Genomic DNA, 13,801 nt, shown 5'->3' on the forward strand with positions numbered 1-13,801 from the left:
CTGAAGGACATGCAGGCCACCCCTACTTAACTCTCAGCTGACCCAGCTCCCCTTCACTTCCAGCCTCAACCAGGGAGGGGAGGGGGCCCAGAACCACAAGAACTCAGAGAACTATAGTTGAACTGAAGCTCTTTATCCTCCGAGTCAACCTTTCTTGCATCTGCTGCACCCAGGGCTAATGAATGAACTTCAAAGAACGTCTTCAAACATCAAGTTCATCAGTGACCAGAGGTGTACTTTTGCAACCTCTCCAGGAGCTTTGTTTTGGATGTCTTCCTACCATGAGTTTAGTTACCATAGCAACAGCCAGAGAAGCTCTGCCTGGAAGAGAGATTTCTTGTATAATGAGCCTGGAAGACCTTAAGGTGAATAGACAACTTTTGCTGTTTTAGGCCTAAAAGACCTATATTTTTTCCCTCCCTATTAGTTCCTGGTATATATTTATAGCATTTATATCATATTAACCATAAAATGAATCTGACTTATTATTTCCTTTTAAAAATCCAGATAGTCTGATCATATAGAGATCACTGGGTCCCTGGGTCCTGAGGCCATACTGGAATATATTATCCAAAGGCTCTCTGTCTTGCTGCCTAGATTTGTTTGCATGAAGTCATTGCTCTTCTCAAGTCCTTCTCAGGACCTGTCAAATCAAAACTCCTGAGCTGGAAGGTGGGAGCCATCCAACAATCAATTCTTCCCCTACAAGCCACCAGAATTTTTTCCTCCTCTAGCTCACTGGGTATGGTGTTTGCACTATTTTGTCCTCTTCCTTTGGAGAATCACCTCTCCCCTGCTAAATAGTATTGCTCAGCCCCTGCAGTAAGAATGGTATGACTTGGTTCCTAAGCCTGACCAGGCTCAGACACTTTCCTGGGACTTCTGCCAGTACTATATGGGAAGGTATTCTTTTGTCTCAGAGGCTGCTAAGTTGGTAAATCCTATATTACCTATAGGATGGTGGAGAAATCCTATATTAGTCTGCCAAGGCTGCCATAACAGAATACCATAGACTTGGGTGGCTGTATTAGTCTGTTTTCATGCTGCTAATAAAGACATACCTGAGACTGGGCAATTTATAAAGGAAAGAGGTTTAATTGACTCACAGTTCAGCACGGCTGGGGAGGCCTCAGGAAACTTACAATCGTGGTGGAAGTGGAAGCAAACATGTCCTTCTCCACATGGTGGCCGGAAGGAGAAGTGCCAAGAAAAGCGGGGAAAAGCCCCTTATGAAGCTATCAGATCTCATGAGCACTCACTCATTATCAATCATGAGAACAGCATGAGGGTAACCGCCCCCATGATTCAATTACCTCTCACTGGGTCCCTCCACGACATGTGGGGATTATGGGAACTACAATTCAAGATGAGATTTGGGTGAGGACACAGCCAAACCATATCAGTGGCTTAAACAACAGACATTTACTTCTCACAGTTCTGGAGGCTGGATGTCTAAGATCAAGGTGTCAGCAGGCTTCTTTCCTCAGCTTACAGATGGGTCGCCTTCTGGCTCTGCCCTCACATGGCTTTTCCTCTGTGCTTGTACTCCTGGTGTCTCTTCTCCCTCTTAGAAGAACACCAGTCTTATTGGATTAGGGCCTCACACTTATGACTTCATTTAACCTTCATTACTTCCTTAAAGGTCTTGTCTGCAAATACAGTCATATTGGGAGATAGGGCTTCATATGAGTTTTGAGGAAACACAATTCAGACTGTAATAAATTCTATGGGAGAACTGGAAGGAAAGGTGGAGACCCAGTCACATTGTTCACATTGTATCTCTGGATACAATAAGTCAGCCCTACCCCTCTAAATATTTTATTTTCTTCAGTAATATTTCTTTTCTCTCCACTGTACTCTCCTAAATATTTAAACACATCTACATAATGGCCATTGTTTGGTCAAAATAAATGAAGAAGTGGTGTTTGGAGGTATTAGAAACTACAAACAATACTTTATTATAAATTAAGAAGAAATATAATTTATATAGTTCTTTGTTTATTGCACTTTAACCAAAGACGTAGGCACTATCCATGTCTCAGTTATTGTATACATATGAAGATTACCTTAAGCAAACATTTTTGTCTTAGTACCTTCCTTAAGCACAATTTTTAAGATTCAATTGTTCTAATACTTTATACCCTATAATCAAGCAAAGATGAGAAGACCTCAGAATTCAACAAGAATCTGGGTGCTTACCTCTTCTGATATAAATATCAGAAGCTGATTCTTAAAGCTTCTACTTTTACATAGAAATAAAAATGTCCTCTCCATTTCTAATCACAGATGGAAAGAACCAGAGGTGATACCCCAGCCAATCATCTACAGTTAAAGCATTAATACTGTGTTCAGAGGATACAATTCATAATATTTATGCACTCAATTGTACAGAGGAAAAGAAAGAGACACAAAAACTAGTGAAATCATACCTCCCCATGCATGGCTTTTAAACCAGTTCAACTGTGCTATAGGATACAATGGGGTGGTGGGGGCGGGGGGCATATGTACAATAATGTTTGCACCTTATCTAAATAAAATGCCACCAAGTTGATGTATTATTTAGCCTTTATTGCATAGAAGGCCTTCCATTTGAATATGCTACATACAGAACTCTAAACTCTGAGCTTTTTATTCACAGAAAATGTGCTCTCATACATCTTTGTGTCCCCTGCCCTTAATACTATGCCCGACCCAGAGTCAGGGATCAAAAGATATTTTTGGTATGAATAGGCAAAAAGACACACATAGGACCTTGAATGACAGTGGCAATGTATTACAATTTATTAAAGATGTCTGATGAGTCCAGAGTACTCCAAATATTGAACCCAAATTCTCAAAAGGCATGTGATAGAATGGGGTTACCCTTGATAAACTATAAAGTTAGAAAGATTATTTTAGAGACACCATCAGAGTAGGTGTCAGAAAATCTGAGTTCCTGTCTAGCACATTCCACAAATAAAGTTTATAACATTGCACCAGTTGCTTAATCTCTGTGTCTTGAATCCTCATCAATAAAATTCAATTAAGTCTATTCAAACACTTCTGTGAATGCTAACAGTTCACTGGCAATTAATTTGAAAACAAAAATCTGTAAGGCTTCTGCAATCTAGTTGAAATCTACCTTTCCCAGTGGATTTTCTAAAATTCATCAGCACCTACCAGCCTGCCCCATGTCTTGTATCCTGGCTTCTGCCACACTTCCTTCTGCTGAGATGTCCTCTCTGCTCTTCTCACCTCCCTAATTCCTGACCATTCTCTAAGACCCAGACCCACATACATCTCCTTAAAGCCTCCAGGCCACACGCACTGGGGGATTATGTGTAGGTGTGTGAACTCCTCGAGGATGGAACACATTCAATTCTTTTCAACGCTGCCCCTAGCAGCCTTCCCACCATACTTTGCAGAGAGCTCTGCACAGAGCAAAGCAAACACTGTGGCTCTCGCCTCCCCTTGCTCCCTCAGGACCTCGCAGCCTTCAGTTCACTCAACCCAAGATCTCAAGATTTCAAAGAAACGAAGAGATTGAAGGCTTCTGTCTCGCAAGTTAGTCACTGATCAGGCAGAAGTGTTTGGCTCCTGCTTCCTCACATTTGTTTTGCACACACACAATGGTCTTGATATGTTTAGAGGGTATTTGCAATGGGATGTGGCTGGCCCAACTGTCAGCTAACCTTCATGTTTCTTTCATAGCCCCCAGGAAGAAAATTGAAGAGTTCAAAGAATTGAAAAGTTAAGCCAATTCATTTAAAATAATCTTTGACTTTCTCATTATCAATATATGTGTATTTTCTGCAAGGTTACAAAAACAACTGGAACATATGTTAAAATAATCTTCAGTGTCATCTGCAGCAACTAATTCTAGAGAACTATCTTATTCAATTTCATTTCTTACTTATATGGAACTAAACCTTAATCTGCTTTTCAGGTATGAAATATATTCATGATTCTGTCTCAAAATATGAAATCAAAAGTTAGCATTATAACTCCCAGCTAACTGTCATATTAATTCATCTGGATGAACCTTGTGGTACTGAACTTTGACAATGCTCAGGGTGTCAAAGCAAACACCTGCCCCACCCCACGCCTACCCCAAAAACAAACGAGAGGCTTTTATAGGTTGCAAGTCCTGGTCTGGTTTATTTATAAAGCAATAAATATTAGAAGCACAAACAAATTGCACGTGTGTAAACAAACTGTACAATGATTGATGAAAGATGAGGGAAGGTGGTTTGGAAGACTCCAAGAAGCATAATACCGTCATCCTGACTGGAAGGTAGATGGAGAGAGAAGGCATCTTAGAAGCATTTGCGGTGGACAATGGATGGGCCTGCCTCATCGTACTCTTGCTTGCTAATCCACATTTGCTGGAAGGTGGACAGAGAGGCCAGGATGGAGCCCCCAATCCAGACAGAGTATTTACGCTCAGGGGGAGCAATAATCTGCAGAAAGAAAACAAAAACTTCCAGTGAACTCTGAAGTTCCAAGCAAGGGAGCAAATAACACATTGGGAGGATTCACAGAAAAAAACCATTAGATATTAATTCGCTATAATGTGGGATATGTCATACCACGAAATAATGTGGCCAATCAAGTTATATGAACTCACCTCTATTTCATCATTTATATTATTAAAGATATATTCTATTATTAAAATGGAATTTCTCCACTTACCTAGAGTGTAATTTGGCAACAAGCTAAATGTGTAGTGGAGCCTAGCCCAAAAGTTGGGAGCTTTAAAAATGTATTCAAAGATTTTGTTGCGTGTGTGTGTGTCTTTTTTTTGTCAAAGATTTATTTTTATTCACTGCTTAAAAGCATTTTGGAAGTTACCTATCTTGGGAAAAGTGCTAAGAAAATCAGAAAAAGTGGTAGAAAAGCTAACAGGTAAAGTTTGTAGGAGACAAGAAACTGAGTATGAGGGAAAAGGAATTTGGAACGTAGTTCTGCTTAGAATACCAAGACTTGCCTCGGATCTCCCACTCACAAAAGTTCTTTACCTTAATCTTCATGGTGCTAGGAGCCAGAGCAGTGATTTCCTTCTGCATACGATCAGCAATACCAGGGTACATAGTGGTGCCTCCAGATAAGACATTGTTGGCATACAGGTCCTTGCGGATATCAATGTCACACTTCATGATGCTATTGTAAGTTGTTTCATGGATGCCAGCAGATTCCATACCTGGGAACGAGTCACACACACACACACACACACACACACACACACACACACACACACATCACAGTGCATTCAGGTCAAGGTAGAGGGAAGAGAACAGAACTTCTTTGTGTGGGGGAGCTGTCACCATTTGTCTCTGAAACATATGTTCCCCTATAAGACACACTGCAGGGTGGAATGGGTGCCTCACAGTTAATCCACAATACAATGCCAAGAAAGGAGCAACTGTGCTTAGCACCTGTTTCAAGTAAACACCTCCTGAAACTCTCAGATGTATGAAGATGTATTGGAAAAGGAAAAGATACACGTTTAAACTAAAATGAATGTAATTTTTGTTTATGGACTTAAATCAGATCCTGACAAAGTTCCTTATGGAAAGCATTGCTTAGGAAGGATATTTGTTGACATATAAGTGCCCAGTTATTAATATGAGTAGGAATGTTATTGCATTTAATGATGAGGAACTTGGAAAGTCCAGCTACTTGGTAGTGAAACTTACGGGAATAAGTCAGCTCTTGTGAACTAGCCCTTTTCCTGCAGATACGTGCTATTCAGTTACTACTCTGTGTCATCCTTTATTTTGAGATGAACTCAGTGTGTCATCCTTTATTATATCACTAGAGCAGAACATAGACTTCCCCTTTAATGAGCCATCAGGACTTGAGGTTGAGCTGTGTGGGAATCCAAACTATGACTTCTTTTAACTCAAGGGCTTCTTGAGCCTTCTAGATTTTACTCTGGGAGACCCTAAGATTTCCAGGGAAAATCGTGCCTCTGCACCAGACCCTACAACTCACCAATGAAGGAGGGCTGGAAGAGTGTCTCAGGACAGCGGAAGCGCTCATTGCCAATAGTGATGACTTGGCCATCAGGCAGTTCATAGCTCTTCTCCAGGGAGGAGGAAGAGGCAGCTGTGGCCATCTCATTCTCAAAATCCAGGGCGACATAGCACAGCTTCTCTTTAATGTCACGGACAATTTCACGTTCAGCTACAGAAATAAAGAGTATCACAGTCATGCTCTGAAGCAAGAAGTCAATTATAGGGAGGTAGGCGGATTCAGTGAGAGAGGAGGAAAGCAGACCCACACTGTGGCAGATGAGACACACACACTCACCAGTGGTGACAAAGGAGTAGCCACGCTCAGTGAGGATCTTCATGAGGTAGTCAGTGAGGTCCCGACCAGCCAGATCCAGACGCATGATGGCATGGGGCAAAGCGTAGCCCTCATAGATGGGGACATTGTGAGTTACACCATCCCCAGAGTCCAGAACAATGCCTGCCCGGGGAAGTAGACAAGAACAAGGTAAATTCCTGAGGACAACACCACTGCTCTAGCCACGGCAAAGCCCGCTTCCAATCTTGGCTAAGAGATGCTAGCAATGGGCATTGATCCAGATAAAATTAGATTCCTTACACACAAAGAATAAAAATGCGCATCAGGAATACTAAATCTGAAGCAAACTGCAGCTCATCTTTTTAACTATTATAGTAGAAAAAATTCCCGAGGACACTTTCAAATGACCATCTTTCTTGTCAGCCACGAGCACATTATGTAAGCACCCAAGGGTGTTTTTCTTTGCTCCTATTGAACTTACACGTTTCTCTCTCTTTTGACTCAGACCCTGTATGGAATGTATTCTCCTTGGGGATGCTTGCCCAGGTGATGTGATGGTTTAAACACATAACAATGACTGCTGCACTCCAAGCTGCTACACTGCGCTGAGCTTTAAATGAGGGAAGGACCTATCTCCACAAGCTATCAGCTCCAACAATAATTGTGCTCCGAAACTAACCTCAGGGCACTACTGTTAACTCTTTCTCTTAGCACAGACCTTGCTAGGGAATGGGAGGAAAGGGATTATCCCTTTTTCAACTGGGGGATCTGATTCACAGCAAGGTCGGTGACTTGGGAATGTGATTCATCAGTAACTGTCCCCAGAGCCCAGCATACCTGTGGTACGGCCAGAAGCATACAGGGATAGCACTGCCTGGATGGCCACGTACATGGCAGGGACATTGAAGGTCTCAAACATGATCTGAGTCATCTTCTCCCGGTTGGCCTTGGGGTTCAGCGGGGCCTCTGTGAGCAGGGTGGGGTGCTCCTCGGGAGCCACACGGAGCTCATTGTAGAAGGTGTGGTGCCAGATCTTCTCCATGTCGTCCCAGTTGGTGATGATACCATGCTCGATGGGATACTTCAGGGTCAGGATGCCTCTCTTGCTCTGGGCTTCATCACCTACGTAGGAGTCCTTCTGACCCATACCCACCATAACTCCCTATGAGAAGAAAAAATGAGAAAATCATGCTCTCACCATGTCAGGAATATAATCAGTGTCTTGTCCATTTATATCTAACTGCCCAAGTCAAGGAACATATTTAAATACCAGAAATAACAAGCAATACGATTTTACCCCAATTTAGAAGAATTATTTAAAAATCAATCTTCTACCTTCTCCCCACTCCCCCAAAGATGTATAATTCTATTGTTGAGAATATAACTCAGGAGAGAATGAAGCTATTCCACTGAAGAAGCAGAGCCTCACCTCACCTTAAAAATATCATATGCCTTCATTAAGTTATTAAGCTCATCACCCATGTCAACTGGAATATAGATGACTGCATTTTGGAATGACTGAATTAATGACACATTGTATTTCTCCTAAGAAAAAGATTTTGACATTCAAGTGAACACATAATGATGGGCTGATATGCCATCCTCACTCCAACAGTGAAATTCAGCCTGTCCAGAGCTGTTCTGGAGTCATTCACCAGCTCTGAGGACTAAGCTCTCCTGCTTGGCAGCCTGTCTGGCCAGGCATGTGACAAACCCAGAGAGCATGGCATGTCTTTTAACAAACGAGGTGGTATGTCACTATCACCATGGCACTTGCTGCCTCTGTCACGCCTGGCTTCTAAAAATGCAACAGCCAGGAAGGAGATAGATTGATTACACCTTTGGGGAACCCTGTAAACTGGCTGTGAACATGAGAGAGGAATGTGGATTTGGTCCTGGTTGGTTGGGAGAGGTGATATTGTTAGAAGTTTTAAACAGGACTGAAAAGAGAGGACAAGGAAGAAAATGAAGTGTATAAGGCAGAGAAGACACTAAAGACTAAAAGTCCAAAAGGCCATTAGTGGAGAGAAGCAGGTGGCTTTCACACCAGGGAGTGGGACCCTTTTAGAGGCGTGCCACTCAGGTGTACATTCCTCAGTATGTTGGGGTTTTGTGGAGTATTGCTTGCCTTGGCTTGGATTTGAAGTCAATCAGCCTTCTCTTAATTTGGCCTAAAGAGTTCATCGAACAAGAGGGTCAGGTGAGAGCCATTTCCTAGATCGCTGGACTGAAGGGGTCCCGAGTGGGACGGGGGGCTCGGCGGGAAGTTTACCTGGTGCCGCGGGCGGCCCACGATGGACGGGAAGACAGCGCGGGGCGCGTCATCGCCCGCAAAGCCGGCCTTCACCAGCCCAGAGCCGTTGTCGCACACCAGGGCGGTGGTCTCCTCGTCGTCACACATCTTGGCACAGCTTCAGGGGGTTCTGCAGGTTGAGGAGGGGAGGGCGGACCACGCTTAGCTGCCTGTGCAGCTGGCCTTCTCCGCACCCAGAGGACAGGACAGAGCAGAAGGGGGTTGTGGGGACTGGACAGGGGGTTGGGCGGGGAACACTCCTGCCACCTCCCTTCCCCTCGAATCATAAAAGGGAGGGAAGAAGCCGCGGAGGAGACTGGGGACAGAGAAGGGCAGAGGAATCCACCCAGGCTCCCTGGCCAGGAGTTCCAGCTAGGGTGCCAGGTGCAAGGAGGGACCCAAGAAACCCAGCCCCTTAGTCCTCCCCAGCCCTTTAACTTTCTTCCTTTTCACGAACTGGGAACTCGATCTCCAGCCCTGTCCATATCGCCATGCCTGTGCCCCAGATGGAGGGGAAAGCGCACGAGAGTAGGGACCCAAAAGCCCCTTGGGGAGCCACAAAATTCCCCTTCTTAGAGCCCCTGCGAGGTCCTGCGAGGACCAACGCCCAGGACAAAACAAGTTAGAACCAAATCAAAAAGTGTGGGCTTTAAAAAAAAAAAAAAAAAGGCAGTCGCAGAGCGGCAGGAGCTGGGGCCTTGGCTGAATGCGGGCCGGGCTGGCCAGGTGGCGGCGCGGGGCTGGCGTCCGGCGCGGCCCGCGGACCAGGCGAGGAGTGAACGCGGAGGGCCGGGCGCTGACTCACCGTCGGCGGGGCGGGTCGGCTCGGCTCCGGCGGCAGCGGGCTCTGGGTGGCTGGCTCCAGGAGGGCCGCTTTATAGAACGCTGATGGACAGGGTCAGTTGGAGCAGCCGGGGGCAGGGGTGGGGGGCCCGGTCTGCCACCTTGCCTTATTTGGTCCCCTTCGCACCCGCTAGGACTGCCGAGGCCATTCATGGAGCCAAGGGCAGGGGAGAGGATCAGCCAGGGAGCCCCCAGACCATGTAAGGAAGGGGAGGGGGCAGTCAGGGGGATGGCCAAATAGGGAGCTGGGGAGGGGCAGGCGCTGAAGGGTAGGGGGCAGGGGAAGACTAAGTGACGCCAGCCCACCCCTCCCCCTTTCTGGGGTGTGGGTGCTCCCTGGATGGTCTGTGGATTCGGTCCTCCGCAGCCCTGCCAGCCTTGGGGACAATAAGCCACATGCAGTGGGAAGGCTTGGCGCCCTGCCCTCTGCTGAGGGGTCCTGACAGCTGGGCCAGGGCAGCAGGGGAGCAACAGCGGCTTCTCATCTTCCAGGGCTGCCACCAGCACAAAGGACACCGCAGCAGCACATCTGAGTGGCTGCAAAAGGGGCACCCAGGACAGGGCACCCTTCTGGTCTAGTCCCCGCCAGCCTGAATGGCTTTACTCAGAGAGCTGGTGCTGGGCTCATCTAGGTCAGAAAGCTGAGATTAACCAAGGCCACCCGAGTTCCAACCCATGCATGGATCAGGGTCTGGCCAGGGAAGAGTCAGAAAAGGGTTTCTGTGAGAGCTTGGCCAAGTCTTGCTGGAGAAGGGACCAGGTTTACCCCAGCCCAGTTATTGGGTAGCCCTCATCCATGCTGCAGGGTTTTGCTCAAATTCAGACTCTGGTCTTCAGGCCAGAAAAGGATCCCCTGCTGCCAAAGTGAATAAAGGAACAAATGCCAAAAGTAGCTTGCCCACTTGATGGTGGGGAGATGAGCATCTTTAAACTGGGGGCAGAGGCCCTCACTCCAGGTGGAGACAAGACTGCAAAGGCAAATACTTTGATGGAGAACATAGCAACAACTTAAACTATAGGACTACACCAATCCTTGCTACTCAAAGTGCAGCCCATGGACAAGCAGTATTGTCATAACCTGGAAATGAGCTAGAAATGCAATCTCAAGAGCCATCCCAATCCGCTTTTCAGCAAGATCCTCATTTGCTTGGTATGTACATTAAAGTGTGAGAAGCATTGGCATAAATGACAGATATCATCTCCTCTGTGGAAAACAGATTTTGCAGGATCTTGAACTTTTGAGAAGGAAAAAGAAAAATGACATGAAATGAGGAGAGGGAGAAGGAAGAGGGAGATGTAAGAAGGACACAGATCACTAGTTTGCCCTGGGGTGCCCTGCATTCTCAGTTCTTGACTGGAGCTTTGATTTTTAATGCTTGTGTTTTTCCTCCAGTTCACACCAGTTAAAAATAGAAAACTGGGCACTGGCATCTCTCTCTAGAGTGGTCTTGGGCTGATATGCTGAGGAGGCCTGCTGATTAGATACTTGTCCCGACTGGGGAATGCTGGGCCCTCCCCTCTGAACTCCCCAACCATGTTTGGGTTGGTCTGGAGAAGAAACGCGATGGGCAGCTGTGTGGTGGGGTCGGGTAAGAGACCTGGCTGAGATTACTCTGTGCAGCACAGCAGGCATTTTACAGTGAAAATGTTTATTGACAGGATGCCAAGAGTAGAACTGCCTTGTCTCGTGAAAATATAGAAAAACCAAGGAAAAGGAGAAATGGGACTGGTGTCAGAGCCAGACAGAACTGGGCTCAAATGCTGCCTTTATCACTTACTAACTATCTGTTTGGTCTTGAGCAAGACACTTAACCTTCCCAAGCCCCAAGTTTTCCCTCTCAAAAGTGATACCATAACACTTGTTGCAGAAGTTATTGTGTATTGTAATAGTTAGAAACAAATGCTGTAAGTAATATGGAAGATACAAAGCAAATTGTATGTGTAATAATGATACTTTTGGAGGCAGTAGTAGCTCTGCCTTTTAAAGAATCAGGTTGATTTCATTCTTCATTGATTCAGCAAATCTTTGCAGGACAAGAACTGTGCTAGTTAAGGATTCAGTGATAAATAAAACAGAGCAGGACTCATCCTCCGTGGCAATTACAGAAAAGTCAGACAGCTATGGCACAAACTGGGAGGGAAGAAGAGGTATCAGCAGGATAGTCACAAAAAGGGAATGGAGGTCTGAAAGAGTTGCCGAGAAAGCCTTCCCCAGGATGTGTTGTTCGTTTTTAAAAGTAGAGCAGAACTGAAGTTTATGAACATTTGTGTGAGAGAAAGAGTTTCTGCATGGGAGTGGCTGGTGAGAGACTCCCACTATGACTGCTATAGGTGCAAAGACTCTCAGGAATGGAAAACCATGATTATTGACCTTTGTCCTTCGCACAGGCTTCGGGGATCTAGGAGGCCACTTCCAGCCCCCTCATCTCAGGACCATTGGCTCTAGTGGGAGGCCAGTAGAACAGTGCAGGACACAACAGCAGTTTTGTGAAACAATATTCACCCTTAAAATGTTTGAAAAATGTGTTTCCTATTCCGCTCAATTTCATTGCCTAACACTCAAAACAGTGTATTTTCATATGTGTTATGTGTGTAGCAAGAACGAATGCTTATTTCTTAAAAATTTATGATTGTTTGATATTTACTATTTGTATTACCACTCAATTTCCACATTTTATTTATTTTATTTTTATGTATTTGTTTGTTTGCTTCAGACAGGGTCTCCCTCTGTTACCCAGGTATAATCAGGTGCGGTGGTATAATCAGGGCTCACTGCAGCCTCAACCTCCCAGGCTCAGGTGATCCTCCCACCTTAGCCGATTCTCCCACCTTAGCTGATCCTCCCATCTCAGCCTCCCAAACAGCTGGGACTGCAGGCACATGCCAACACACCCCGCTAATTTTTGTATTTTTTGAAGAGACGGGGTTTCACTATGTTGCCTAAGCTGGTCTCAAGCTCCTGGGCTCAACTGATCTGCCAGCCTCAGCTTCCCAAAGTGCTGGGATTACAGGCATGAGCCACCAAGCCTGGCCTTGATTTCCACATTTTAAAAACTTTGAACCCTATTTTATATATTTTAAAATGTAAACCAACAGGAAAGTAAGATTTCATGACTGAGTTTTATTTAAACTACTTTTTACAGATCCACTTAATTTGAAAATTGAGATTGGCTTTTTAAGCATATAAAAATGACATCTCAAAAAAAATTACAAAACAAAGAAGAAAAAAATGACATCTCCTCTTTGGTACATTCTAGATTTTTTTTTAATTATGGTAAAATATGCATATATCAAATTTACTATCTTAACCATTTAGGAATACAGAGTTCAAAAGTGTTCAGTGCATTCACATTGTTGTGCAGTCTCCGAGTGTTATTTTTTTTATTGCTAATTGTGACTAAATTGTGCTTCCTGCAGTTTGAGAAAGACCAGTTTATATCCTATGAGGTAGGGAACCACTGAGCCTTTTTTGTCTGAGGTCACACAGGTGAGCAAATGGTGGAGTGACAATTCAAACTCAGGCACCTGATTTTAAGCCCTATTCCCAACCACCACCAAAAATACCTTCACATATACTTGGTCTGCTATTTCTCAGAATGTGATGCTAGAACCGCCTCCAGCCAAATTACCTAGACTGCCTCATAGAAATTCAGATTCCTGGGTTCCACCCTGGAAGATTGAATCTGCATTTTAAATGAGCCCTCACTGTTCTCCCCTAGGTATGTTTCTCTGCAGAGTGAAAAACTTAGCCGCACTGCTTGGCTGTTCTCTCTGAAGCCCACAGAGCTTTGCTGGATGCTGCCCAAGCTGCCAGTGCTGGCTGGAGTCCAGGTTGGCTGACCTTGTAGATCCCAGTGGGATGGCAGAGCTGGGGCGGGTCCCCAGGGCTCTTGAGGGCCAGTGAAGCCCTTTTCGGCGTGGACTGGCCATGAGGGAGACGTGCAGGGCAAACTGAAGGAACAGAAGGTGGGACAGTTCCCACTGCCCTTGCCTCGGGGGAAGTCTGTTTCATCCACCATCTGCTGGGATCTGGAAGGGAGCGGCCCAGCCTCCTCCCCGGCACTGGGGGATTAGCAGTCACTTATCTCAGCTGTTCCTCCGTTCGGAGGTGTCACAGTATTTACAGAGAAGCCAGAAACAGACAGAGCCACACTTAATTCCTCCCCATGAGCCCTCCCCATCACCTCCTGTCCCTCCTGCATTCTGTGTGCCGGGGGAGGGAGAGCCTCGGTTTAGATCAGACCGGGGGGAGGATCTAGCCTTCCTAAACATTCCTATTTTCTTTGCCTACACATTTGTTCACCCCCACTGCCCTCTGGCTGGATCTGGGTTTCAGTTTTCATTGAAAGGAGAAAGTGACATGATGGTGAGGGC

At 45.4% G+C, this 13,801-nt stretch overlaps 1 protein-coding gene and 1 long non-coding RNA gene across 7 annotated transcripts in view, besides 1 other annotated feature; one reads left to right on the forward strand and one right to left on the reverse strand.

Moving 5' to 3' along the window:
- GJD2-DT (GJD2 divergent transcript) overlaps window positions 1-13,801 on the forward strand; it is a 57,840-nt gene that overhangs the window by 31,033 nt on the left and 13,006 nt on the right. The window lies entirely within an intron of this gene.
- On the reverse strand, window positions 4,114-9,433 carry ACTC1 (actin alpha cardiac muscle 1). 6 transcript variants are annotated; one of them, NM_005159.5, is made up of 7 exons: window positions 9,390-9,433; window positions 8,564-8,714; window positions 7,129-7,453; window positions 6,292-6,453; window positions 5,974-6,165; window positions 4,998-5,179; window positions 4,114-4,439 (listed from the first exon to the last, which is right to left on the reverse strand). In NM_005159.5, the coding sequence occupies exons 2-7, from the start codon at window positions 8,690-8,692 to the stop codon at window positions 4,296-4,298; spliced, it is 1,134 nt and encodes a 377-aa protein (NP_005150.1). In that variant the 5' UTR covers window positions 8,693-8,714; window positions 9,390-9,433; the 3' UTR covers window positions 4,114-4,295. The 6 variants fall into 6 exon arrangements, with proteins under 6 accessions (NP_005150.1, NP_001393412.1, XP_047288935.1 ...); NM_001406483.1 differs by having other exon boundaries at window positions 9,042-9,433; XM_047432979.1 differs by having other exon boundaries at window positions 9,027-9,433.
- Window positions 10,580-11,051: an enhancer, noted in NCBI's record as "heart enhancer 26". NCBI's record gives its function as "activates a minimal c-fos promoter by transgenic reporter assays in zebrafish embryonic heart {active_cell/tissue: heart(embryonic)}" and the evidence as "EXISTENCE:transgenic organism evidence [ECO:0001131][PMID:20075146]".

The sequence above is a fragment of the Homo sapiens genome, chromosome 15 (genome assembly GCF_000001405.40).
Source record: "Homo sapiens chromosome 15, GRCh38.p14 Primary Assembly".
Taxonomy (NCBI): Eukaryota; Metazoa; Chordata; class Mammalia; order Primates; family Hominidae; genus Homo; species Homo sapiens.

Bases quoted from the DNA above. Each gene is read 5' to 3' on its own strand.
- ACTC1 (NM_005159.5), bottom strand. From the start codon at position 8,692: ATGTGTGACGACGAGGAGACCACCGCCCTGGTGTGCGACAACGGCTCT. The intron at 6,454-7,128 runs GTATGCTGGGCT...TTCCCCGGGCAG, and splicing joins TGCTTCTGGCCGTACCACAG to GCATTGTTCTGGACTCTGGG. The intron at 6,166-6,291 runs GTGAGTGTGTGT...TTATTTCTGTAG, and splicing joins CTACTCCTTTGTCACCACTG to CTGAACGTGAAATTGTCCGT.